At 40.3% G+C, this 27110-nt stretch overlaps 1 protein-coding gene and 1 long non-coding RNA gene across 15 annotated transcripts in view; one reads left to right on the top strand and one right to left on the bottom strand.

The window, feature by feature from the left end:
• Positions 1-27110, bottom strand: part of KIZ (kizuna centrosomal protein) — a 120648-nt gene that overhangs the window by 26623 nt on the left and 66915 nt on the right. For 10 of the 14 annotated variants that reach the window (XR_937105.4, XR_001754334.3, NM_001276389.2 and 7 more), the window contains 3 exons: positions 14416-14509; positions 5300-5465; positions 4352-4417 (listed from right to left, as the gene is read on the bottom strand). Coding sequence is in view for 11 of the 14 variants with exons in the window: in NM_001276389.2 (NP_001263318.1) it covers positions 4352-4417; positions 5300-5465; positions 14416-14509 (326 nt within the window). In the remaining 3 variants the exon portion in view is untranslated. The remainder of the gene's footprint in view (positions 1-4351; positions 4418-5299; positions 5466-14415; positions 14510-27110) is intronic. The other 4 variants (XR_007067468.1, XM_011529297.4, NM_001352434.2 and 1 more) reach the window with 1 other exon arrangement.
• KIZ-AS1 (KIZ antisense RNA 1) lies at positions 1711-25596 on the top strand. Its single transcript, NR_109956.1, has 8 exons — positions 1711-1853; positions 5978-6089; positions 6408-6464; positions 17628-17686; positions 22424-22460; positions 23909-24028; positions 24482-24562; positions 25045-25596. It is a non-coding gene; the product is annotated as a KIZ antisense RNA 1 (long non-coding RNA).

Raw genomic sequence — 27110 nt, 5'->3', positions numbered from 1 at the left:
TAAAAGGGGTAGATTATATTCACAACAACAGATCATACAGGCTATGGAATACTGACTCTGTGTTTGTGGGTGGGGCATCAGTGTGTGCCCAGGAGGGTTTCTATGTAAATCTAAACACAGAAAACTCGCATGCTCCATAATAACGATTAGCAAAGCAGATGCCTTCAAAGTGATAGCAGACTCTTTAAGGAGGAGCCCCAGCCAAGAAGACCTCCGTTTTGTGGTGATAAGCAAATGAGAAAGGGAAATGAAGAGATGAGAATGCTGGCACACTGGATTCCATTAGCATAGAGGAAGAAGCACAGTCCCTTGGCATTAGAAGGAATGTCAGGGGTCACAGAAGCAATAATTCCTTCCACAATGCTCTTTTAAAGAGCCACAGGGCCAGGCAAGGTGGCTCATGCCTATAATCCCAGAACTCTGGGAGGCCAAAGTGGGCAGACTGCTTGAGGTCGGGAGTTGGAGACCAGCCTGGGCAACATGGTGAAACCCCATCTCTATAACAAATACAAAAATTAGCCAGGCATGGTGGTGCATGCCTGTAGTCCCAGCTACTTGGGAGGCTGAGGAAGGAAGATCACTTGAGCCCAGGAGATAGAGGCTGCAAAAAGCTGTGATCACAACAATGCACTCCAGCCTGGGTGACAGAGCAAGACCCTGACCCTGTTTCAAAAGAAAAAAAAAAAGTCATGGTTCCTGCCATGGTTCAAGCACTCACCCCTGGAAGATACTGAACTTGGTTTTGCTGAAATGAAGAGCTAGAAAGTTGTTTTGTTACTGAGCTACGCTCTATAATTAAGCTCGATAAATATTCTACCTGGTATATGGCAGCTCCTCAAATATTTAAAGAGCTACTGTGCCCTTCTCAGGTTAAACATCCCCAGGACCCCCTCATTCTGATAAAGGTATGACTTCACAGCTTCCCACCCCCAACCTCTTGTGACTTCCCAGATTTCACCTCAGCCACGTCTTCTCTTATACTTCTTCTGAAATGGCTGAAAAGCAAATAAAGACGCACAGAAGGATCCCACACTGAAGAATAGCACTTCTGGGCGCCTAAAATTACTATTGTAACCTTACTGTCAATTCAAGGAACAGCTGTAACAAGCAGCTGTCAGTCATAACATCTGGGTGTAGTTACACTAAGGTAGCCCAAAATCTCATTATAAAGCAATCTCACGCACAAGGGAGCTCCCCACAAAATGAAATCACAGAAAAATGCTGAAGATAATTTTAGCATATTGAGGAAACTGGTGCCCACATTGGACTCACTGCTTTAAAAGTGTTCCACATACATGTGTGTATGTTTCACAAAGTATGTTCCACAGAACATTAATTCTGTTGGCTATTAACAGAAAGAATTCCATTTTCAAATAAATGATAAGTTATCTGAAACTCTAGGCTCACATTTTTAAACAATTCCTTTGCTGAAAGTCTTTTCCAAGTCTTCACTATGCTTCTATGCATTATGCATACTGCAGAGAGAGAGAAGGATCACACAGGGCTGGGCAACAAAATATGTATTAATTGATGTATTTTCTGGGTGGAGCATTGCAAATAACACATTTTGGAAAATGCTGCATTAGCTCATCAATACTTGTGGGGCAGCACACACATCAGGGGAGGTCTGCTGCCTGGTAATCAGGTACCCTGCAACATCATCCATTGTGAGCACATAGGGTTACTAAGGGCACATAGGCACCCCGAGACAGAGATGTCTGGGCCTTGACCAATGAGATCTTCAGGAGTACTTCAGCAGCTGTTTCGGATTTTTCTCTGTGGATGTCCTCATGGGACTAAGTGGAAATTGGAAAAGTATCATCAAACTCTTCTTGAGATTCCTTTTTGATAAGGTAACTATCCTGGATTTGAATCTCAATTGTGTTCTCAAGTGGCAATTTCTTGCAGAAACTAACATAGCAGTACTATTGGGAAGCACTGTCTTGCAGGTATTGCAGCAGTACTGTGCTTGTGTGGGTCTTGGTCCCAAGTGGCCACCACAACTCAAGGAAGGTATGCAGGTCCACCAGAACAGACTGAAAGTGTCCACTCTTCCAGGGGCTCGTCTCACAATGGCACTTTCTGTGATGCTGCATCCTCATTCTCTCTACTTATGTTCTTCTTTGAGTTTGCTTTGTGAGGCTCCTCATAGCTGGTTTGGAAATGCTGGGGACTGTGGGGGCCCACACAGAAGACCAGGAACACTAATAATGTTCACATGAATATTATTATACTTCACAGATAAAATTGAGTGTCTAGTATCTGCTTGGCACTTTCACAAATGATTTCATTTAAACTTTAAGACAATCCTATTGGGCAGTATGTCTGCTTTCCCAATACAGAGGCTCAGAGAGGGTAGAGAAACAGAGCAAGGAGTAAAAGAGCTGACACTGATGGCTGGTTGCAAAGCCCCAGCCCAACTGCTACATTTCCTCAACCTTCAGGGGACAGCCTCTGGAATATTTTCTTTGGAATATTCTAGAAGGAATGCAGCCCACACAAACACAACCAGCATGCACCCACACAAACAGGACACCCCAACAGAACTATTATAAAGAGGCAGACAGACTCTGTCTTAAATTAAACTACATACTTGCTTTACTCTACCAAAAGTGAAATCTCCAAATAGTTATGCCAAAGTCACAAACATTTAATAAAGGGATGATGGTCAAGAACTTAGAGATCAAAGTAGCTGCAATGATGGACAAAGCAACAGTATTAGTAGTGCCAAGGTGCGTGAAGCTCTCAAACATGAATTTCATGGGAGGTCCCTGGGTGGGGATAGTACACTGGCAAGGACAGAACAGTAACACCTTAACAATGTGTATGGCTTTGCTAAGTTTTTAAAAAATTTCCAAAGTACTTTTTTTAATGTCTAATATTCTGGCACAAGGCATTTTTTTTAACTGCCAACTATTGATGGATCAATGGCAGGTTGCTGGAATTACAATTTCTTTTAAAATCTTAATGGCAAACAGCCCAAGTTGCTTCTAGCCATATTGCACTTCTGCATGAGAAGGGATTTGAAACCCTGGTACTTAATTATCCGTTTTCTTATAAAGAAAGTATATGAGAAAATACATTTGCATTAACTTTGGGGAGAGTCAACTACTCCCAGCAAGGGATGATTGTAAAGAATACTGAAAAGAGAAGAATGAATGAACAAGGTCATTTCCTGGTTTCTCCTCAATAATCCTTTGTAATTTTAATTGAAATAAATTCAGAGGCCATTAGATACTTCTGCATCCAAAAGTAAATGCAAGAGAAAAGTATCCAAATGACTTCATGGTTATCTGTAGTTTGGGATCATCTACATTTCTATTAATAAAAATAGCAGGGAGCCATACCAGAGTTTGCAGAAAATGCAGACTAAAAACACAATAAACATATCATTGGTGAAAATGTTTAAAATAAAAAAACTCTGCATTTTAGAGTGAAATATTATCTGAATGCATAATATATACAATAACTGCTCTACCATAAACTGCTTTTTCAAAACCAGAGTTCATCACAGAAACATGAGTTTAAAAAATTAATCATGCCAGGAACTGCACTGCCATAAAAGCAAGCCATTCTTTTCTGCTTATAAACAACAAAACTACCACATATGCAGATGCATGCCTCAGTACCTTGGTGCAATGGTGTATTTACTTGTGTAAATATTTAAAGTCAGACCTTTGAATTTATAATGAAGTAGTACACCACTTCACAAAATAAGGTACTAGTAAATTCAGATGTATGACAAGTAGAACTCTGTACAGAATACTAATTGCTGCTGTTCTTATTCTAAAAAGAAAAAAATAATGATATCGTTCAGATTCCACCTAAACAAGCCTAATACATGTGCAGAAATCTTAATAGGTCTTGATGAAGCCCGATTGGTACAATTTTTAAATTATCAGACAGGCTTTGTAACTGAGGCAAACGCAAGCTTCCTATCTGACATTTTTTTATTATCTGCTTATTTTAATATACATATGCAATTACTACAGGAAAGAAAACAGTAAAATCAGAAACATCTATAGTTTGCTGTGTAATGACCGGGTGTTCCCCAGGGAGATGGACCTTTTTACAGAGACGCAGGTGCTGAAAGGGCACATGATGGAGGATGTTACAGGTGTAAATATATAACATGGTGATGAAGAATTCAATAGACACGGTGATTTTCCACCTTAGTTTATGTTAACATAAGTATATATGTTCTGCTCTTAGGATTAATCTCCTGCTCCAGCATGCAGTAGCTGAATACATGTGCTCTTAGTGGGGTCCACAAACCACTGACCCAAAATGTTCCGCTTATATAATAATGCTAAATCTTGTGTCTGAAACTCTTAGGCAACCATAGCTTTACCTGTGATTGGGATATCTGCAGCCACATTTTCTTTCTTGCTCTTGTCTCCACAGCCACTTGAAACTTCTAAAAATTGAATGCATAATAAAAAAAAAGTATTTCAAAGTTAAGGAATAGATCCTTTGGGTGTTTGTCCTTCCCTTTATGTTCACTTTTTTTTTTTTTGGTTAATGTATTTCTTGTCTGAAACAATACTGTTCCTAAAAGGAAACCTATTCTAAAATTAAGGTATCTCATAGACAAAAATTTAAAAATAAAATTGAATTAAGGTACCACTATGCTGCTTTCACGCAAAATAACTGGGCCTGACATCTATCAAATTTAGGTGGGACATAAAATAAGTGAGTCTCACATCCTGCACATGTACATCAACTCGAGCAATTCCTGAGGAATTCATAGCTGTCTTGGAAAACCATTAAAGCAGTTAAATGGCATGTCTTAGCAGTAATGCTTAAATAATCACAGTTTCTGGGTGCTCAAAATGGGTTATTAAATTTGGGGAGCATAAATTCATTGATTCTTAATCAACTGTTTAGACACTGATAAGGTTCTATTATAATTAAAAGTAATGTTTACAATTATGAGAAAATTCTATTAGGTGATATCAAAAACTTCACAGTACTTTATGGAATCATCTTCATCTTTGAGGGATCAAAATTATCTACTGCCAAGCGATTAGTTTTGTTAAGATTTCGTAACTTCTTCATACTTATTTTATTAGAAATAAATTCACTAGAACTACAGACTTACAGTTAGATTTCCCATTCCTGTTAGACTAAAGGAGAACATATATATTTATTGGAAGGTGGTATAAAACAAATACTATATTATGCATATTAAAATCAGAGGTATTCACTAGTCAGTGATATTCTATAGGTGTACCTTGAGAAAGATGATGATGACCCTGAATGCCTTTTTGCTGTGGACACACACTTTAACAATAGTTACCTTGTTCCCTTGTAGGAACACTGTTGAGCCATACAGCAGGTTTGGCTTCCTTTATTCCACTATTGTCATTCAGAATAGATGGCAAGCTGCAAGATGATTCACTACTGTGAATAGCTGACCTACGGCCACACTCTTCTGTAAGGGCTTTTCTCAATAATGCTGTTGCCTACAGTGTTTCAAAAAAAGCACAAAGAAATAAAAACAAACTGTAGCCACATTCCTCTTGGTCTCAAAGATAGCCTTCAAATATAATTTTAAGTTAAGCTTTACTTAGGATTTAATCTGTTTCCCACATTTAAATGAAATTAAAATGTCAAGAAAAAAAACACCTGGTTATTTTCTACTATAATCTAATTCTTTACAAGTTACCCTCACAATAATACACTTTTTGAGGGCTGAATCTTATGTAATGCAGAAATATTCTTCTGCTTGTTAAGTATGTATATGAAACGTGACCACCTCTGTTAATCTGGGCAGGTTTATCCTCCCTTCGATATATACAAAAGGTAGAGCCTCAGACCTCCTTTCTGAAGGAAAAATTTATTCTTTGATTACATGAATCCTATTTTCTAGGCATGTCAGACAGAATTACTTTCAACTGAGAAAAAGATCCGGAAAGATGTGACCTTGCCATATCCCCACCCTCCTAAAAATGACCCATGAATTTCCCCTAAACAGGAAGATTGCAGAAAAATTTGTGGCTGAAGAGGATGCACTGAGAAGAAAGATAACTGCCCTTATTCTAAATCCCAATCTTCAATCAAGTACTAAGATGGTCTGCACTTTGCCTGTAAGTCGTCTGGGGATCTGGGGAAACTCACCCACCACACTGCCTATCTTTTTTCAAAGGCATTGTCTTACTTAAATGCCTCATGTGTCCTGAGCAAGGAGGAGGACACAGGTTTTTATCAGAGCCAACCTTAGAGGTGGAGAAAAAGGGGCAATTCACAGGACTGGGGTTAGTAGCCAAGTCTTTTGATTTTCAGGTCAGTACTTTCCCCTAAGAAATACAAATATGCTGGTAATAAGAGTTAAACTTTTAGTAGATAACCATTGGTCACATTATCCCGCTGCCAGAGTGTATGTTTCTCTCATTTCCTATTGACAGGTGGCGATTTCCTTAGGTAGCTGGAGAGGAAACCTCGGTGGTGGTGGTGACCCACAGGTAGCTGACAATGACAGTAAATACTGGGTAGTGTTCAACCCAATTGTGGGAAAATGCACATGACAGTTTAAAATTAATATAAAGAGCAGAAGTGGACAAATGTTCACAGGTCATCATTAGCCAAGAGTGAAGTGTTAACAATGTAACTATCCAGTGAACAAGGTGGAAAAAACAACCTTCCTTGTGATTAACATGAAACAAGGTGAAGACACTCCGACAGGGAGAGTCAGAGCATGGAAGGTCCGGTCGGAAGGCCCGGACGGAAGGCCCGGTAAGAAGGCCCGGACAGAAGGTCTGGATGGAAGGTCTGGTCTTGCATGTTTGGCATTTCAGACGCTTCAAGGCAACTGCCTTTAGTCCTGACTTCCCTGCAGAGTTCTTGCCTTCTTCCCTCCCTAGTACTGGCTGACCTGGACCCATGGCCTACCTGAGGAGCTGGAGTAGCTGATTGGGGGATTTAAGGAGTTCTAGTCCCCTTGGCCAAAGAACTTGGTGTCAAGTTAGCCTTGCAGCCAGGACCTTTCTGTGGTGCAGTTCTAGTGACCAGGGGCTTTTCCTCTATTTCTAGAAACTAGTCCCTAGATTTCACTCCACTGTGATAACTCTGTTGGGATGACTTGCTCAGTATTCCCATTTCTGCAGTCTAGGGGTAGGGTCCTGCCCTTGAAGGCCAGGCCAAGGCTGGTTCCCATCACTGCCCCCATCCCAACTGCCTACACAGACCACTGCACTGCACCTGCTTCTGGAATCTACTACAAACACCTTTCTAATGAGTCCTTGTAGGCTTGACAAGAATACTGCCATTGCCAACAGTTCTGCACTGAGCCCTCTTTTCCACGGTGAGGTAAATAATGTGGTGGGCATACTGCACTGCTAGTTCAATTTACTTTGTACACAGACGCTCCTTCAATTTATGAAGGGAGTTACATCCAATAAACCCACAAATTGAAAAAATTGTAAGTCAGAAATGTATTTAACACACCTAACCTACTGAACATCATAGTTAAGCTTTGCCTACCTTAAACTGCTCAGAACACTTACATTAGCTTACAAATGAGTAAAATCATTTAACACTAAGCCTATTTTATAATAAAATGTTGATTTTCACATGTAATTTATTGGATACTGTACTACTTGTAGTATGGTTTCCACTGAATGCCTAACACTTTCACACCACTGTAAAATCAAAAAATTGTAAGTTGAACCATTGTAAGTTGGAAGTCAGGGACTATCTGTATTTTATCCCATTTATCTTCACTACTCAATACTTATCTCCAGGATTTCTGTTACTTTTTTGATAGAAATGTTTATAAAAGAACACATCTTTTAAGATAATTCCACAGATAATTTCTCAAAGATGATAAGCAGGGACGAAGACAAAAGTTAGTCTCAGACAAGGATAGACAAGAACAGGTCACAGATTTCTAGTCAAAAACAACTTCTTTTTGAGACAGAGTCTCTCTCTCTTGCCCAAGCTGGAGTGCAGTGGCGGGATCTTGGCTCATTGTAACCTCCACCTCCCAGGTTCAAGTGATTCTCATGCCTCAGCCTCCCAAGTAGCTGGGATTACAGGCGTGTGTCACCAAACCAGGCTAATTTTTGTATTTTTAGTAGAGACGGGGTTTCACCATGTTGGCCAGGCTGGTCTCGAACTCCTGTCCTCACGTGATCTGCGTTCCTGGGCCTCCCAAAGTGCCGGGATTATAGGCGTGAGCCACTGTGCCTTGCAAAAACAACTTCTGCAGTCAGGAAAACGTCTGTAACACATTCTCAAGATGTACTGTTTGCAGATGTTCCAGAAAAGTGTATTTCTAAGGAAACCTCCAATCTGAAGGAGTTTGCAGTCTGAGACTGATGACACTAACACAGAGAGAAGCTCAGAGAACAGTTAACAGGTTGCTTTATTACATCTCATGCTGGGACTAAATGGGTTCTGCAAATTGGAGCTAATTCTCTGAAAAAAATGCCATTAGACAACAATTTTACCACAGGCTTTCTGATAGTGCTTATGATTGAACTATGCTTGGGTTTCAACTTACCTGTTATTAATAAAGGCTCTCTTTTCGGAGGCCAGAAGAGAAAACTAGAGATTGTTCCATTGGTCTCAGCAGTCTGAAGGCTAAGTCAGTACGAACAAACCACCCCCTCACTTTTCAGCCTCCCCAGGAGCCAGGAGAAAGGACTTGGAAATTAAATGCCAGGGCACAAACTATTTGTGGAATGACTGATGTTGACACCTCCATATTTCAGACATTATGGCAGATAAATCGTTCTATGAGTTACACCTACAGTACTATTCCTTTATTAGCCCAGTTCTACTAGAATTTTCCTCCATGTTCAGTTTAAATATTAATCTTGCTCTATCTAGAACCCCAAGAATCATCTAAGCTGACTCTTAAATTATATCCAAAAACTTACGGTTGTGATATTCAAATGTATAAACAGACAGATGTAAGACATTAATAGAAAAGACATTGTATCCAAAACACCATTAAGAAAATTAAAAGACAAAAATTAAACTGCTAAAAAGATTGCAACAAAATGTCCAAATTTATATTTAAAAAGTTTTTGCAAGTCAATAAGAAATAATATTACTAACCTAATACAAAAATGAGCAAAGAACATGAGCTGGCAAATTATGAAAAAAGAAATACAAATAGCTAATAAATAGGTAGAGAAAAGTTTGACCTCAATTGTAATAAAAAGGTCAAATTAACAAAAAAAATTGGATGTCATTTTCATCTCTCAAATTGCTGCCCCTAAAAAAAAAAAAGCTGATAGTATCTAGTTTCATAAAGAACTCAGAGAAATGTTATTTTCATCCATTACTGGTAACTCTGATGACCCTTCCAGAGTGAGATCTGGCCATGCATAGCAAAAGCCTGAAAGATATACCCACCTTTTGACCTACTAATTCTATATCTAGGAATTCGTTCTAAGAAAATATTACAGATATTTGTAAAATCTGAATTGCACAGATATTCTTTGAAACTTTTTTACTAGAGGAAAAATTAGAAACAAATGTTGAACAACAGGTAAATGACTGAAGTGACAGTGGACAGGGGACCTCTGTAAAGCCATTTGAAATGATGTAAATAGAACATGTAATGGTATGAAAGAGTTCACTTTGCAGCAAATGGGGGTAAAAAAAAAACAAGGTTATGTATTTATGTATACAAATAATGCAACCTATGTTTTTCAATATATTAGTCATTATTATTATTATTAAAGACGGAGTCTCGCTCTGTCACCCAGGCTGGAGTGCAGTGGCGCGATCGAAGCTCACTGCAACCTCTGCCTCCCAGGTTCAAGCAATTCTTGTGCCTCAGCCTCCCAAGTAGCTGGGATTACAGGTGCATGCCATTACACCTGGCTAATTTTTCTATTTTTAGTAAAGACAGGGTTTTACCACATTGGCCAGACTGGTCTTGAACTACTGACCTCAGGTGATCCACCAACCTCGGCCTCTCATATCAATATATTAAATATTTAAAAAAACATACACCATAATGTTAACAGGGTTATATATAAATAGTAGAATAGTAGGAAAATGGCCAGTTTTCTTTTTATCTTACTATTTCAAGATTTTTAATGCTTGTTTTTAAAAGAAAACATATGCTCGCTCTAAAGAAATCCAATTTCTGCTATCAGTGGTACCAATACAGAGAGAAAATGAATGTAAATGCATCTGATAAAATTAAATTCCCTTCTATATGCAAACCAGTGCTACTAACACAGACACAGAAAAGCAAGAGAATTAAAAATAATGGATGTGGACAGCAGATGATATTTTCCCCTAATATGCAGATTTAACTGACTCTTCCTCAAGGTTCAAGAGTATTCCTCTTGGACACTGGAAGTAATTTCTTGGTGTTTAAAGAGAAATGCAAGCATCAACACTTAAGTTCTACGTTAAAGGGAATGAAGGGATTTTACCTGTGTAGCAATTTTTTTTTTAAATGAGAAGATATTCATATGACCCAGCAAATGAGTATTCAGGAGATAAGAACAAGAAAACAGTCCAGCATTTGGGGAAAGCATCTTCCTGGTGAATAAAACTGGTCTGTGTGTATGGTGGGGGCAGGACCCCGATCTACTCTATGAGTGTCACCAGCATATTGCTCTGCTGTGATAAAGTTCTCCAGGGCAGAAACAGGTATCACTTGGGAGAAAAGTAATATTAAGGCATCTTGTATTTTAATGAAGCACCCAACTCATTTTTTTTCCACAAAAAGTAATTACAAATTTTTCCAATTTAAAAGCAGGCAGCTCAATTATGTAATTGCCTAATAGGTTATGTGGGCACTGCAGACCTTATCTGGTCTCCAGGGAACATAATCTGAGTTTCTGCGGCTTTGATGATGTATTTACTCAAGAGAAGGGATTGACTCGGGCTGACAGCACAGGGACTCACAGGGAAACATCATTTACATGCGGCTTTTTAATTAGCCATTTACCCAAGAGATCAAAGTAAATATTTCTGAGCTTCATTAGACTCTTAACCAAGTAGTTTCTAGTAGAGCTTTTTTAAATTTTGAAAATCACTTACTTTGAAGATTTTATCTAAAGAGAAAGATTTAACCCGTAGTATTTACCAAATGTGTAGATGGTTTCAATACACAGAAACAACTCAAAGACACTTGATTTCACTAATCGGAAAAGTATGACATGCAAACCAAAACAGTTCTAGGACTCACAAAAGCATTTTGTCCTTCAGTTCACAAGGCTTGCCCCGCCTGCATCATTTTGGTAATATTCTTTGGGGCTGTGCATTTCTTCAGTCACAACCTAACTGGATGAGAAATTACCTGTTTATTCCATTTTTTTTTTTTTTGAGATGGAGTCTCGCTCTGTCCCCCAGGCTGGAGTGCAGTGGCGCAATCTCGGTCACCGCAAGCTCCGCCTCCTGGGTTCAGGCCATTCTCCTGCCTCAGCCTCCTAAGTAGCTGGGACTACAGGCGCCCGCCAGCACACCCGGCTAATTTTTTGTATTTTTAGTAGAGACGGGGTTTCACCGTGTTAGCCAAGATGGTCTCGATCTCCTGACCTTGTGATCCGCCCACCTCGGCCTCCCAAAGTGCTGGGATTACAGGCGTAAGCCACCGCGTCCAGCCTATTTCCATTTTTAAGGATAGATTTTGTCATTAATCTATTGGTACTTTTTATGATTGTCACTAAAATGAGATCAGAATGATTTAAAAAGGAACAAAGATCTATTAGGGGAAACAGAATATAATTTGATTCATTAGATATTAGCTGGACAGCACCCCCTCCCATTATTGGAAAAATTGAGTAGATTGGTTGTTTGGGACTTGGACCATGTTTTCTAATATAAACAATATCATTTAAAAAAATATTAGATAGCAAAGGACAGTCGATCAACACTTATTTCACCCTTAAAATGCCTGAATGTGATGTACTTGCAGTGAACAAGCATGGGAAATAATGTTGTTACAAGACAGTGCTAACTCAAAGGGACAATAAAACCCAAACAGTATCTTTCTTAAGATCTACGTTCATCGGCTGGGCGTGGTGGCTCATATCTGCAATCCCAGAACTTTGGGAGGCTGATGGGGGCGCGGATCACCCGAGGTCAGGAGTTTGAGATCAGCCTGGCCAACACGGTGAAACCCTGTCTCTACTAAAAATACAAAAAAATCAGCCGGGCATGGTGGCACATGCCTGTAGTCCCAGCTACTTGGGAGGCTGAGGCAGGAGAATTGCTTGAACCCAGGAGGCAGTGAGCCCTGGTGGCAGCGAGCCGAGATTGCACCACTGCACTCCAGCCTGAGCAACAGAACAAGACTCCGTCTCGAAAAAACAAACAAAAAAGATCTACATTCATCAGCAAAGAAGGAATAGATCTAGGTTATCTTTGAAAAGGGGCATGAAATCTGTGAAAGGCATACGGGGGGCTGTATCTATGTTTGTAATAATTTATTTCTTCCCTCTAAGGGAAAGGGGGGAGGGAAGGAAGTTTGAGGAGAAGAGGGAAAAGAGAGAAAGAGCAGAAGAGAGAGAAGGTGGGTGAAGTGGGGGGAGGAAAGAAGGAGAGGGAAGGGAGGGGGGTACGAAGATGGGGGAAAGGAGGAAGATGAGGAGGAGGGGGTCTGAAACAAATATGGTGCAATGGTAACAACATATGTGAATTTGGGTTGTGGGCATGGGATTAGTGGGTCCGTCCTATCACTGAATATATGTATGTTTGAAATGTTATAAAAAAAAAGTCCTGCTACTCTCTTAATTAGAGCAGCAAGGAAAGAGGGGTCTGAGGAGGACTAAAGGTGCTCTGGAAGGCTGGAGGGGCAAAGCCAGAGTCTCTAGATGGCACAGCCACTTGGGCATGTGACTTCAAGACACAGGCAAGGCTTGATTCCAGAAGGTGCAGATATACAATCCTTGAACTATGAGCATGGTAACAATAATTTTAGAAACACCTTAAAAAGAATCAAAGCCAGAAAATCCTGTATTATATATAAAGATGAAAAAACATGCTTTGAAACAAGACACATTCCCAAGATGTTCAACCTAGGAGAAGAAAGGCTGTTTCCCTGAATGTGGCTTTTCTAGGGAATGAGGAAGGAATATGCCAATGGACATGCTCTAAAGTTGGGCTTCCGGTTCCTCCCCTCATGATTTCCTTGGGAACTTGCTCCATCCATTTCCATTTTCTGTTTAGCATCTTCGAATTCTCTCTTGGCACCAGCTCCCAAATCAGGCCCCTCCCTCCTCTTGCCTGAACCAGGGCAGGGCTCCCTCCTTCAATGTCTCAGTCCCAAACCAAACATGAAATTCCCTAAGGCACTGCAGAAATCCTATCACAGCTCTGTTCAAAAAGCTCCAGTGGCTTTTCAAAAGGTACAAAACTAAACACATTCTCCCTGGCCTGGCATCGGATGCTGCACACTATGGCCAGCAACTACTTCTTGTGCTCCTTCTCACCATCCCCAGACTTGAGCCCATGCTTCAGCCTCAGGATGGCTCTGTTGCCTGAACATGTGTTGGGTTTCCCAGTGTGCTCTTTGGCTCATAGCAGCCATTTCTTGTCACCTCTGCCCCCACCCCCAACTCGTACCATCAAAAGCCTATCTTTTAAAGATCACCTCTCATGCCACTGTACTCCCTCCATCATGACCTCCGCCTTCCTTGCTTCTCCAGGAGTCTTGGCTTGGCTCTCTTTCCTGAAAGCCCACATTTTTGACATTTTCTTATTACATGCATCCCATGATGTCACACCCCAGAAGGAGGGGGTCACATTTTATTTGTCTCTTTCCCTCCAACGGATCTGGGCTGATATCTGTGTACAGTAATGGACCGATAGGCATTTGCTGAATTGACATGAATGACTATAAAGTATTTCTAAAGTACGGAGTGGAGACGGAAAACTAGAGTGTTATAAGATGCTTTGAAATTTCTTGGAAAATAAATTCCTACATAAAACATTATGCAAAAGGCCCAAGGTCAGAAAGTTAAAAACCAACCAACCACAAAACCTCACTTACTACTTTTCTTATCGTTATTTTTTTCAAATACATAACATTTCCTCAAATGAATAATCTGCACATCTTGAGACTTTTTTTTTTTTTGAGATGGTGTCACCAGGCTGGAGTGCAGTGGCGTGATCTCGGCTCACTGCAACCTCTGCATCCTGGGTTCAAGCAATTCTCCTGCCTCGGCCTCCCAAGTAGCTGGGACTACAGGTGCGCACCACCACATCCAGCTAATTTTTGTACTTTTAATAGAGACGGGGTTTCATCATGTTGGCCAGAATGGTCTCGATCTCTTGACCGCGTGATCCACCTGCCTCAGCATCCAAAAGTGCTGGGATTACAGGCGTGAGCCACGGCGCCTGGCCAAAACTTTTTTTTTTTTTTTTTAAATAAAAATTACTAACCTTACCCTGTGGTCCACATTTGTGATTGGGAAAACTTCAGACAGTTTAGCTACCTACCTCTTCTTTGACAGAATTATCATGTTCTTTCAAGGTGGCAACATGCTGACCCACCTGTGCCCTCGGTACGTCTGAGTCTGGTGTTTGTCCAGGTCTATAAAACAGAAACAGGACACTCACTATAGATTTGTAATATTATAAGATTCCCACATTTTTAAAGGCCTCAATTACGTTAGTAGAAGATGGTTTATCCAGAAGTCTGGAACTCAACATATTCTGGTCTAAGGGAGTTTTGAGTCCAAGTATCCTTTTTTTTAAACTTTTAAAAACTTTGGTTATTTCATTGCTAAATGAGCATTCTCAACTTTTGCTGCACACAGAACAACCTGGGGAGCTCTGCACAATCTGGGTGCCTGGGGCCACCTCTACAGAGTCCAGGAAAAATGGTCTGGGGTATGGCTTGGCCAGTGGACTTTTTAAACATTTTACTTTAAAATTTTAATCTATTTATTTATTTAGTCTCATTGGATCATGAGACTGGCTTTCATCATGTTGCCCAGGCTGGTCGTAAACTCTGGGGCTTAAATAATCCACCTGCCTCGGCCTCCTGAAGTGCTGAGATTACAGGGGTGAGCCACCACGCCTGGTCTGGTCAGTGGGATTTTTAAGGCTCACAGAGTGATTCTAAAGCACAACAATGGTTTTGAATCACTGCATAGATGGTCAGTCTCCCACATGTAGTGAAGAGAAAAAGATCACATTTTCATCTCAACAGCAGATGTTTTGTTGTTGTTGTTTTGTTACACTCTTACCATGGTCTACTTACAGTTTTTTAAAAATTAAGATATTAGGAAAGAGTTAAAAAATAAGCCTATATTGCTGCTCAGGCTGTGGTATTTATGTACTAAAAGGAACCAAAGTTCATTAAAGAAATGCCCTATTCAGGTCTGGGGCAGGAAACGCACAAGATGAACCTGAAACATCTTGTTGTACCAGAAAGTAAGGAAGCTCTCAAAGTTGTATCAAAAGAACTGAAGGTGGGGAGGGGATATCTTAGGAAGCTCCCACTGTCAAAGATGGGACAATTTAAGCACCTAAAGGATACTGACTGCAATGGACTGAAACACAGGGAATACATGAAAATCCTTGAGTTCATCTAAAAATAAATAAATTAATAAAATTTAAAAAATAAAAATATAAACCTTTGGATTCAGCCTTAAAAGGAAGGAAATCCTGTCACATACTACAACATAGATGAATCTTGCACTTTGGGAGGCCGAGGCGGGCGGATCACGAGGTCAGGAGATCGAGACCATCCCGGCTAAAACGGTGAAACCCCGTCTCTACTAAAAATACAAAAAATTAGCCGGGCGTAGTGGCGGGCGCCTGTAGTCCCAGCTACTTGGGAGGCTGAGGCAGGAGAATGGCGTGAACCTGGGAGGCGGAGCTTGCAGTGAGCCGAGATCCCGCCACTGCACTCCAGCCTGGGCGACAGAGAGAGACTCCGTCTCAAAAAAAAAAAAAAAAAAAAAAAAAAAACATAGATGACTCTTAAGGGGATTGTGCTGCTAAGTGAAATAAGCCAGTCAGAAAAGGACAAATACTGTATGATCCCACTTAAATGAGGTACCTAAAACAGTCAAATTCATAAAGATAGAAGTTGAATGGTGGGTGCTGGGGCCTGGGGGGAAGGGAAAATGGAGAGTTGTTTAATGGGTATAGATTTTCCATTTTGTAAGATGAAAATGTTCCAGAGATCTGTTGTACAACAAAGTAAAGATATTTAACACTACTGAACTGCACAGTTCAAAATGGTTAAGATGGCTAATTTTATGTTTTTTTTTAAACCACAGTAAAGACAAAATAGAAATAAATTTTAAAACCTTTGGAGGCTGGTAGGGCAACAATTCATTATTCTGCAAATTGGTAAATAAAGAAATAGAATAAAGCATTTATCCTGCTTTTGTGGTCAAAAAATACATTTCAGAGTCACCAAGTAGCTGACAAGGAAAAGTTCTTCCAATAAATGCAGAAGAAATGATCAAATTAGAAAAGTCACCATTTTGTAAGTCCAAATTAATGATGTATCTAGGAAATGGTCATAATTTTGTGAAAATTACATAATAGTAAACTTCTGTCCTGAAGTCATCAACCTTTCGACATTTGAACCCACAGATCGGTCTTAGTATCACTAACCATGGGGTAACAAAACATTATGTGCTGCCCGGTTTTAAATATCAGCACCACCCATGACATTTTCTTGCTAAAATAACTGGCCTGGAACTTAATCACATATTTGGATCTAACCACCAGTTTACAGGTAATAAAGAGTAAAGAGGAACTGGTTAAACATACCAACCAAATAGAGCATGTAAATTCTCCAGGGTAAGTGACCCAATTCCTCCAACAAATCAATAGCATAAAAAAAGGAGGGAGGGAATGTCACAAAATTAAAAGAGGTTTCAGAGACATAGCCAATTGTAATATGTGGACCTTATTTGAACTCTGATTCAAACAAAACAAACGCAGAAAAACAATTTTTCAGATAAGCAAGGCAAACTGACAAGGACTAGGTATTAGATAAACTGAAGAATTTTGTTGATTATGTTAAATGATAGTATTTTAAATCCTTATATGTTAGATGTATAAGTATTTGTGAGTGAAATGATATGTTGTCTGTTTTAAACTACTCAAGAAAAAAAGCGTTAGGGAGAGAGATAAAACAAGACTGATGAAATGTGAGCAGTTGGTGGATCTGAGTAGTGGGTATATGAGACTTCGAATGTTTAAAAATGTCAAAGTAAAAAGTTAAATGTATATTAGTGTCTGCAACTTACTTAGAAAAGTATAAAAATAAAGGATTGATGGAAGGATGGATAAACAAATATGAGAGGGCAATAAAATGTCAGGAGTACAATCTGGGCGGTGTGTATATGGATGTCCACCCTATGATTCCTTTTACTTTTCTGTATGTTTGAAAAATTTCATAATAAAATCTCTGGAAAAGAAAGTAAGTCTAGGTACAGTTCAGAACCTTCCTCAATAAATCTTAATTGTTATTACTTGTGCCTGACCTAACCCTATTTTTTTCCAGGACTTGAATAAAGTGAGATGAGTCATTGGAATCCTTTGATTCTAAGGCCTCTGACTAGTTTGATAGAAAGACCTTTCAGCAACTTGCCTTTCTTGGTTGCCACCGTACCGCAATGATGTCATTAAACTACCCAATTCCTTTGTTTTGACCTTTGCATCTATATTTGGTTTCTTAACAGACTGCCCTGCTGGGAAAATGCACTGACCAGTCATCAGCAAATTCTAGCCCATTCAGCAGGTACATTTCTTATAATAAGTAAGTCAACTATGCTTTTGGCTTGAAAGCAAGTTTAATTTGGATGAATTAAATTAGTTAAATAGCTAAGTGAGTGAAATTATCAAAGAACAGTCCCTCTGGTGGCTAATACACAAGATTTTCTGCAGAAGCAAAATGAAGGCAAGACTCTTGTTACTAATACACCACCCAATTGCATCTATCCTTTGGGTCCTAGCATGAAAAACTAGCTAAGGTTTCCTATAATTATTATATTTATTTCCCACAAAAGGATAAAATTGATTAATTGACTTGCCCAAGTCAAACGGAAAATGAGCTGTTGAAGGAGGTACAGCACCTAGGGTTTGTGACTTCTGAACAACTAAGGCAACCCTTAAAGCACAAAAGGAAGCTGACTTGCAGATTTCTTTTGGGATAGATCAGGCAAGAAGTGCAACAGCCATGGCTTCCCTAAATGGAGCTTCGCCCATGGCTCTACAAAAACATACCACATCAGAAAATGTGCAAAGTGGTACAAAGGATTTAAAGGAGATTTTTCTGTTTTGTCTAATTTACGTTGGAAAATTTATAACATTGATGACACATAAAAAAACAAAGTTTAATGTCAGGTAATTCTTTAATTAAAAATGTAATAAAGGAATATAGTTTGAATTGTCTATAATTAATTTCATGTACTTGAAAGGGCTTTCAATCAGAAAGGTGAAATTTAAACAAATGTATCCGTATTTCCTAACTTTAAATGCAGAGTAATAAATACCCTGAATTTAATTCTGAACACAGGCAGACTAAAATAGAGATTTTCATATACTATAATCCAAACAATACAAAGCCGACTCAATTTTTCAGTATGAGCATAAGAACACAATTGGGAAACGTATCTGAAAGTAGCCACTAATATAGAGAATTAGTTGCACCTGGAAAAAAATAAATGGATAGTCTCATTATGTTTCTCATAAAATACTTATTAATCATTTTTATATTAAAATGTTTTCCAGAAGACAATAATGAGCAATTTTTAAATCAATTTCTCTAAATCACATGAATCATATTTTTATAATTCATAGTTGTCAAAAACAATAGCTTGGTCTTCCACATGATAATAGTAAACTTTGCATATGACTTTTTGTTATTTTTTTTTGAGACAGCATCTTGCTGTGTCACCCAGGCTGGAGTGCAGTGGCACAATCACAGCTCACTGCAGCCTTAACATCCTGAACTCAAGCAGTCCTCCTGCCTCAGCCTCCTAACTGACACTATAGGTGTGCGCCACCACACTTTGCTAATTTTTTTGTATTTTTTTGTAGAGATGGGGTTTCGCCATGTTGCCCAGGCTGGTCTCGAACTCCTGAGCTCAAGCAATCCACCTGCCTCAGCCTCCCAAAGTGCTGGTATTACAGGCGTTAGCCACCTGGCCCATATGAAGGTCTTAATCCTTGATATAACATAAATCAATAATGATGACAAGCGTGGTTTGTTCTTTTTTTCTCTTAAGATGCTTTATTTTGTGAGCAGGAATTCAGAAATCTTCACATTATCTTCTAGAGCAGGGGTCCCAATGCCTGGGCCAAGGACTGGTACTGATACGTGGTCTGCTAGGAACTGGGCCACAAAGCAGGAGGTGAGTGGCAGGAGGGCGGAGCATTAGCTCCACCTGAGCTCCGCCTCCTGTCAGATCAGGGGGAGCATTAGATTCTTATAGGAGCATGAACCCTATTGTGAACTGTGCATGCAAGGGAGCTAGGTTGCATGTTCCTTATGAGAATCTAACGCCTGATGATCTGTCATTGTCTCCCATCACTCCCAAACGGGACCATCTAGTTGCAGGAAAACAAGCTCAAGGCTCCCACTAATTTTCCATTATGGTGAATTGTATAATTATTTTATTATACATTAAAATGTAATAATAATAGAAATAAAGTGCACAATAAATGTAATGTACTTGAATCATCCTGAAACCATGCCCCTGCCCACACCTCCCTAAACCCGCTCCATGGAAAAACTGTCTTAAACAAAACTGGTCCCTGGTGCCAAAAAGGTTAGGGACTGCTGCTCTAGAGTATGCTATGGGGGCAGGTGTCTCATTTTACAGATCAAGATTAAAGAGACAGATGTGAGCTGCTGCTACACCAAACAATCCTTTAAGGATTTTGTAACCAGTCAAAGCCTTTCCTGCCTGGATTAGAATTCTATGACACTAGGCCAGTGTGATGGCTCATGCCTGTAATCCCAGCACTTTGGGAGGCAGAGGTGGGCAGATCACTTGAGGCCAGGAGTTCAAGACTAGCCTGGCCAACACGGTAAAACCCCATCTTCTGCCAAAAATACAAAAAATTAGCAGGTTGTGGAAGTGCACACCTGTAGTCCCAGCTACTCAGGAGGCTGAGGCACAAGAATCTCTTGAGCTCAGGAGGCAGAGGTTGCAGTGAGCCAAGATCACTCCACAGCACTCCAGCCTGGGCGACAGAGCAAGATTCTGTCTTAAAAAAAGAAAAAAATAATTCTATGACACCAGAGTTATTAACCATTAAAGAACAAGAATAAATCATTCTCTCCAAACCAGTGTTTCTGCAATGGTTGATCAAACTGGCCAGGTGATGATCACAAAGCAGATAGGTCTATTTCACTTAGATTTGGAGTTCCCAGCAGGGACTTCTGGGTGCTAAGGGGCACAAGAGGAAGCTAGAGCAAGGAGGGCAGCGGGGCAGCCTGGTGACTAAAATCCATTAGGAAGAATCTGTGTTTAAAGACCTGACTGCTGTCTCTCAAAGGTCACAAACACTTGGCACTTTTTTCAAGGCTAGAGAGTGAACCAGTGATAATCAGTGTGTGTTAAACAGCATACCCAGTCACAATGTATACAGCAATTCTAGCTGTAGCAGAACATAATGCTGACAGCAGAGAACATTCTTGACTTCTTTATCTGGCTCTAAAAAATGACTGTGGTAAAGAAACAGTTTTGAAGACTCCAGATATTAATTTTAAAATTTGTGGTGGTCATAAAGAAGGATCATTTCTTATGGAAGACTGATTTACACATAACTGTAGATCAATAGTCATGTAAAACACAACCTTTCATAATGGAAATCAATGCTCTATTATGAATGCTGAGAAACTCTAACAATCGTTAGTCTAGTAGGTGCAGACATCATGGCTTATCACCCATAATCACAGTTGGGCAGCCTAGATTAAGAGAGTCACAAAATGAATCATTTAGTTTAACAACTCAGTTTGCGCAGAGAATTATAAATGCATATATCCTTCCCATGCTATACACCACAACTGTGGTTTATGCCAAATAGTATACAAACAGATATAAAAGGCAGTGAGAAAGAAACGGGAGATTAAAGAGCCTTCTAACACACAATCACCAAATGACCTAGAGAGCGCAGAAGGACTCCTCCCAAACCAGCTTCTTCCACTACGTTGTAAAGGATTATTTTAAGACCGTGGTTTTTATTCTGCAGGATAAAAACTGAAAGAGGGTTTTCTGGCATTGCCCTTTACTGCCTTAGGTTGAAAAGCTACTGACCAGGAAGGTCATTTCCAGCATTTCCCATAGCTTCAAGATTACTAGTACAGACGCAGAAGGTAATGTAAAACAAAGCCACTTAATCCGGTGAAGTTTTCTTGTGACAGGGTCCCTTTAAAGACTATTATCCTGATTTCCATCCACCCTTTGATAGAATCAATGTGTACTAGATTTAAGCAGAATCCTGTAAATATCCTCCCTATTTATATCTTTAACATAAAACAGCCTAAGTGGCACATGACAGGTGAGGAGAACAGCACTATGTTGTAGGCTAAGCAGACCCAAAGCCACTCACTCACTCACTCAGCCAGCCAAACAAGGTCCCTTCAGAGGGGCTTTCACAGACATGCATCTACTGACCACTCCTGAGTAATAATCTATTCTCTGCTAGTAAACAGTGCAGATGTATTTTAATAAGAGGATTGCGGCCTGGCACGCTGGCTCATGCCTGTAATTCCAGCACTTTGGGAGGCCGAGGCAGGCGGATCACGAGGTCAGGAGATCGAGACCATCCTGGCTAACACAGTGAAACCCCGTCTCTACTAAAAATACAAAAAATTAGCTGGGCATGGTGGCAGGCGCCTGTAGCCCCAGCTACTCGAGAGGCTGAGGCAGAAGAATGGCCTGAACCCAGGAGGCGGAGCTTGCAGTGAGCTGAGATCACGCCACTGCACTCCAGCCTGGGCAACAGAGCAAGACTCTGTCTCAAAATAAAATAAAATAAAATAAAAAATTAATAAGAGGATTGCAACTTTGTGATCTTTTTGATTTTGGAGCATTCGGAAACAAGAATGGCCATCCCACCACGACAGCAATGTCAAGCCAGTAAGCCCTGACTTGCTTTTCATAGCTGCCACCCCCAGGTAGGAGTCCTGGGAGCTGGTGAAGGACAGCTGCTCTGTGAGCTTCAAGGTCTTCTTTCAGAATGCCATTGTGATTACAGAGCCTATAAAATAAAAAAGATGCTGCAGGAGATGCTTATTTAAGCACAGATCACCAGCTTCTAGAATCTATGATGGTTCTTCATGGTTTACTGAAATATATCTGTAATATAATCTGGACATTAAAATGCAGCAACTATACTGTCTCTCAACAAAGACATAAAATGGGGCAGTTTGAAAAACTTGTTTGCGTGTATGCGGCAATTTTAAATCCATCAGAGGAAGTAACTTTTAACCCTTTGTTGACTTTAATGATGTTCAAATCCACAGCTGGGCAATCTCGTTCCACATTCCACCTGAATGACAGGTATGCTAGATAATCTTAACAGCAGAAAAGGCTAATTTTATATTGTCAATCATAACAAAGTTAGATCCCCACAACTCGTATGAAATTTACTTAAATTGTCACTGCTAAGAAATTGAAAACTTCTGGCTGAAGTATAGGTTACATCCTCTATTTCTGAATGTAGAAAAATGACTATTAGTTTTCCATTCAGATCCTATTGCAGTCAAATTTTCTTTATTCTTAATCAGAATAGGAAGGCATGGAAAGAGGGATTTATCTTTTATTATCTATATCCAGTCTACTGAGTAAGTGATAAGAGTCTAAAAATTTGGTCACTGTTTTAGGTTAGGTCTGTCGTTGTATCACAGTAGCCTTCAAATAGATTAGTTACCATCTTTTAAAAAATGACTATTTTGAGGGATGCATGATTCTAAAAAGCTATAGGAGAAGACAAAACAGTGTTTCTACTTTAAAGGAGCTGTTCACATTTGTAGTTGGGAATATTCAACACACACCCCAAAAAGAAAATGAAGATTAGTTACAAAGCAACTTATAAAGCAATATGTTAATTTGCAAGGTACTAATTTGTAAATAGCACTACAGTTGGTGAAGTTACTGGACCTAGTTGATGGCTATGTGCCTGATGTGATAAGGATGAAGGAGATGTGGTCCATCTATTGGAGGGTGAGTGACAACTGCAGACTCAGGCTTAGCCCTACTCTGAAGTGTACCTTTATGCTGGGAAGGAATAATAACAGGCACACAAGATTCAAGTGCTATTCCTGACCCTTATCCACACTGTTGGTGCTCCAGCTCCTTGCCAATTCCCAGGCTTCTGTCTAAACTCTAAGCCTGGATTCTCAGTTCTTGTAGGTCAGACCCCGAGTTGGGTCCTTCACTCCTGGGTTCTGCTGCCCCAAAGCTTCCAGACTTCAGGCCTATCTGACTTATAGTACCTATGAATACCTCTTATTGCCTAGGCAAAATCTGGATCCTAATTCTTCCTGGAAGCCTTTATCTTGTCATCACTCAATTTCCAGAATAACAGCTGCCCTTAAGAGGTCCCACCAATGGTGAGCCAATTTCAGAGTAGTAAAAGAGAGCCTGTAATCAACGGTGAGAGGTATAGGGCAGGCCATCAGACAATCAGGAATTATGAAGCGGTAAAGACACAGAGAGATCACTGGAGTCTCAGGGGCTTCACTAAGGAGGAGGAACGTGAGCCAGGCAGGTTTTAGAGAGAAGGGGAGATGACATTTGAAACTAAGGAGAGACACAGGCAAAGGTGATGGGAAATGACAGGGTAAGAGTGGTGTGGGGACCAGCAAGGGAGACAAGTTTGGCTGGGTAGGGGTTGCTGTTGGTCATAGTAGGATAGCAATGGAAAATTAAATTCAATATGAAACTCTGGAAAGAATACAGCAATAAGCTTGTGGATTTCTGAGCCATTGCTGGTTTCTCGAAAGCAGTGTTTTTCAGAGGGTTAGCCTGGCAGCCTTGCAAGGATGGAGTTGGTGAGGAGAGAGACCTGAGGCCCAGAGACCAGTCAGGAGACTGACTTTGTGCTGTAGGTGGCAGAGGAAGAGCAGGTAAGTGGGTGAGGCAAGGGAGGAAGAAACAGTCCTTCATCGCTCACCTGGGGAGCACTCAGCTGACTACAGGGAAGGTAACGGAGACCATGCTGGCTGCTGGTGGGGTGGGGCTGTGGAGAGCTGGGGCCAGTGCCTCCATCAAAAGCTCCCCCTGAGGAGTGTGTGTCCCAGTGAACCTAGATCTTCTCAGTTTTTAAGAGAAGCTGGAAGTTTATAATTGCAAGTTTTGTTTTTATTTAACAGCTCCCAATTTTTAAAATGTGGTGACTAATTCAAAAGGTTGCCTACCCACTGACAGGACAAAGAGAACCTATCTGCAGCCCAAGGTAGGCCTGCAGGCCACCAGCTTATGATCTCCAAGCTTAGATTCCCTTTAGTCCCACTTCCCAAACCAGGATGCAAACCTGGAGCAAGGACCATGGCTTAATGTTTTTGGATATCTTCTAAAAGGTTAGTACTGTGCAGTACTGGAAACTGGCTGACACTCCATGGTGCTGGTGGATGCTGCAGTGGGAGCAGGTTCCCTCCATGGTAAGGTGTATTTTATCTTTGCCATCCTTAGGAATGGTGACAACAGAAGGCAGACTGACTTTTAGTGGTCTCGTTATTGTTTTTAAATTCTTCCATAGAATGCACCTACTTATTACCTGCATCTGCACTCCTCCGACATCCCCTCACTACCACCATGGCATGCATGCCAGTGCTCAGTAATGCTTGATTGTCCTGCCAGGACAAATCCCAGATAACCTTTCTTCTTTGCCGATCTTATCAATATAAGTGTCAGGCTTACTTAGACTAGCTCATCTCATCACCCTCTAGAAGCTTCCCTGACTACCTTACTCATAGGGATCTTTCTTACCCCTGAATTCTTTAGCACAAAAGAGACACCATCTTACCTCTTACCTTGTGCTATTCCATAGTTAAGTCACCTCTGCCGAGTCTTCTCAACAAGAGCAAAAGCCTGGTGAGAATAGCAACTGCACTTCTAAATTTTTTACTTTTATTTCTCATAGCATTCGGCACAATGCTGAGCATACAACTTAATGATACTACATGTCAAATGACAAGCTGAAACTTAAACCCAGATGAAAGAAATTCATATGACACACTTATCTTTACAGTATTTTTTTTTTTTTAATAAAAATGAGATGGGGTCTTGCTTTGTTGCCCAGGCTGGTCTCAAACTCTTGAGCTCAAGCAATCCTCCCACCTTGGCCTCCCAAAGTTCTGCGATTACAGACATGAGCCACCACACCTGGCTGACAGTATTTTTATAATGGTTGTTGTTACACCAGTCCAGGGTTTCCCCCTTGGTACTGGGTGATCAATCAGCTGGCCACAAGCACTATGCACAGAGCTTATGATCTACTCTAACTCAGAACTTTCTCGGACTAAAAGATGAGCTGGTTTATGCTGAGGATTTCTAACAGTGCTCTTCCCAGATAGCAGACTTTAGTTTATAAAATATTCATCAGTTCTTTTGCTCAAAAGAACTCAACTAAAGAATTCAAACGCTGTATGGAATTAAATATTAAAGACTATGTGTTATAGAAACACTGTAACTATTTTAGAACTCAAGACCTCAATTCCTTTTTCTATGTGCGTTCCTGCCAAAATCATTCCAGCTAGAAGGGCACTGGCCTGAGGAACCTGTGTCCAGTCTCTGGCACCAACATGCTAGCCCTACCATCACCTTGTTCTCTGTGAGGTCTGGCAGGTGGAGGAACCTGCTGAATGACAAGTAACTTGTGGACACAAATGGCACTTTAAAGATGCATAGCTTATCTTATCCAACGACAGTTAAAGCACATAATAAATGTAAAAAATTTGGCCAAATTAAAAATAATTGCTTTCTAGCTTCATTTTCAGTCACACAGGATTTAGGAGACAACTCCACTCCAGGCTATTGGGAACACTGAAATTAAGGTACAGGGATTTTTTTTGTTTGTCTAATTTTATTATTATTATACTTTAAGTTTTAGGGTACATGTGCACAACGTGCAGGTTTGTTACATATGTGTACACGTGCCATGCTGGTGTGCTGCACCCATTAACTCGTCATTTAGCATTAGGTATATCTCCTAATGCTATCCCTCCCCCCTCCCCCCACCCCACAACAGTCCCCAGTGTGTGATGTTCCCCTTCCTGGGTCCATGTGTTCTCATTGTTCAATTCCCACCTATGAGTGAGAACATGCGGTGTTTGGTTTTTTGTCCTTGCGATAGTTTGCTGAGAATGATGGTTTCCAGTTTCATCCATGTCCCTACAAAGGACATGAACTCATCATTTTTTATGTCTGCATAGTATTCCATGGTGTATATGTGCCACATTTTCATAATCCAGTCTATCATTGTTGGACATTTAGGTTGGTTCTAAGTCTTTGCTATTGTGAATAGTGCCGCTATAAACATAGGTGTCCATGTGTCTTTATAGCAGCATGACTTACAATCCTTTGGGTATATACCCAGTAATGGGATGGCTGGGTCAAATGGTATTTCTAGATCTAGATCCCAAGGTACAGGGATTTTTAAAGTGAGTAAGAGAGAAAAAGTGCTGGGCTCAGAATTGCAAACTGAGAATTACTTCTTGGCAAAAATGACCCTGTATGAGGGCTACAGAAAATAAACTTTTCCTTAACCCTATCAGATAACTTTTACATATTCCTGCCAGTGTTATCTTTTTGGTGAGTTAAATTTTTGTGTTTCAGTTGCGGCACAATAGGCTTGATTTGCAGATTTTATTTTCTCCAAGGAATAGCAATCTCAAAATGGTGTGATCTCTGATCATAAATAGTAACAAATTTGCCAACATTGGGGCTCAGAAGCTGATATCCCAAAATACAGCATTTTGAAATGCTGGGCTGAAGCAGAGATGCAAGGTCTCTCTGACCTTCCCTCCCCCACCTCCCTCCTGTCTCTCAAAGCACAGGATGCAATTGTTCTCTGAAGTTCCTTTATCTGCCTAAAGTCTGGACCTGCTGGAAGAAGAAAACAATCACCTATGGTCCCTTCTCTGAATTTTTATTAACTCAACTTACACTGCAGAAAGAAGGACTAAGGCTGTCAACACATCTGGACAG

The sequence above is a fragment of the Homo sapiens genome, chromosome 20, assembly GCF_000001405.40.
Source record: "Homo sapiens chromosome 20, GRCh38.p14 Primary Assembly".
NCBI lineage: Eukaryota > Metazoa > Chordata > Mammalia > Primates > Hominidae > Homo > Homo sapiens.
Note: the sequence above shows the minus strand (reverse complement) of the source record. Positions and strands in the feature narration are given on the sequence as shown.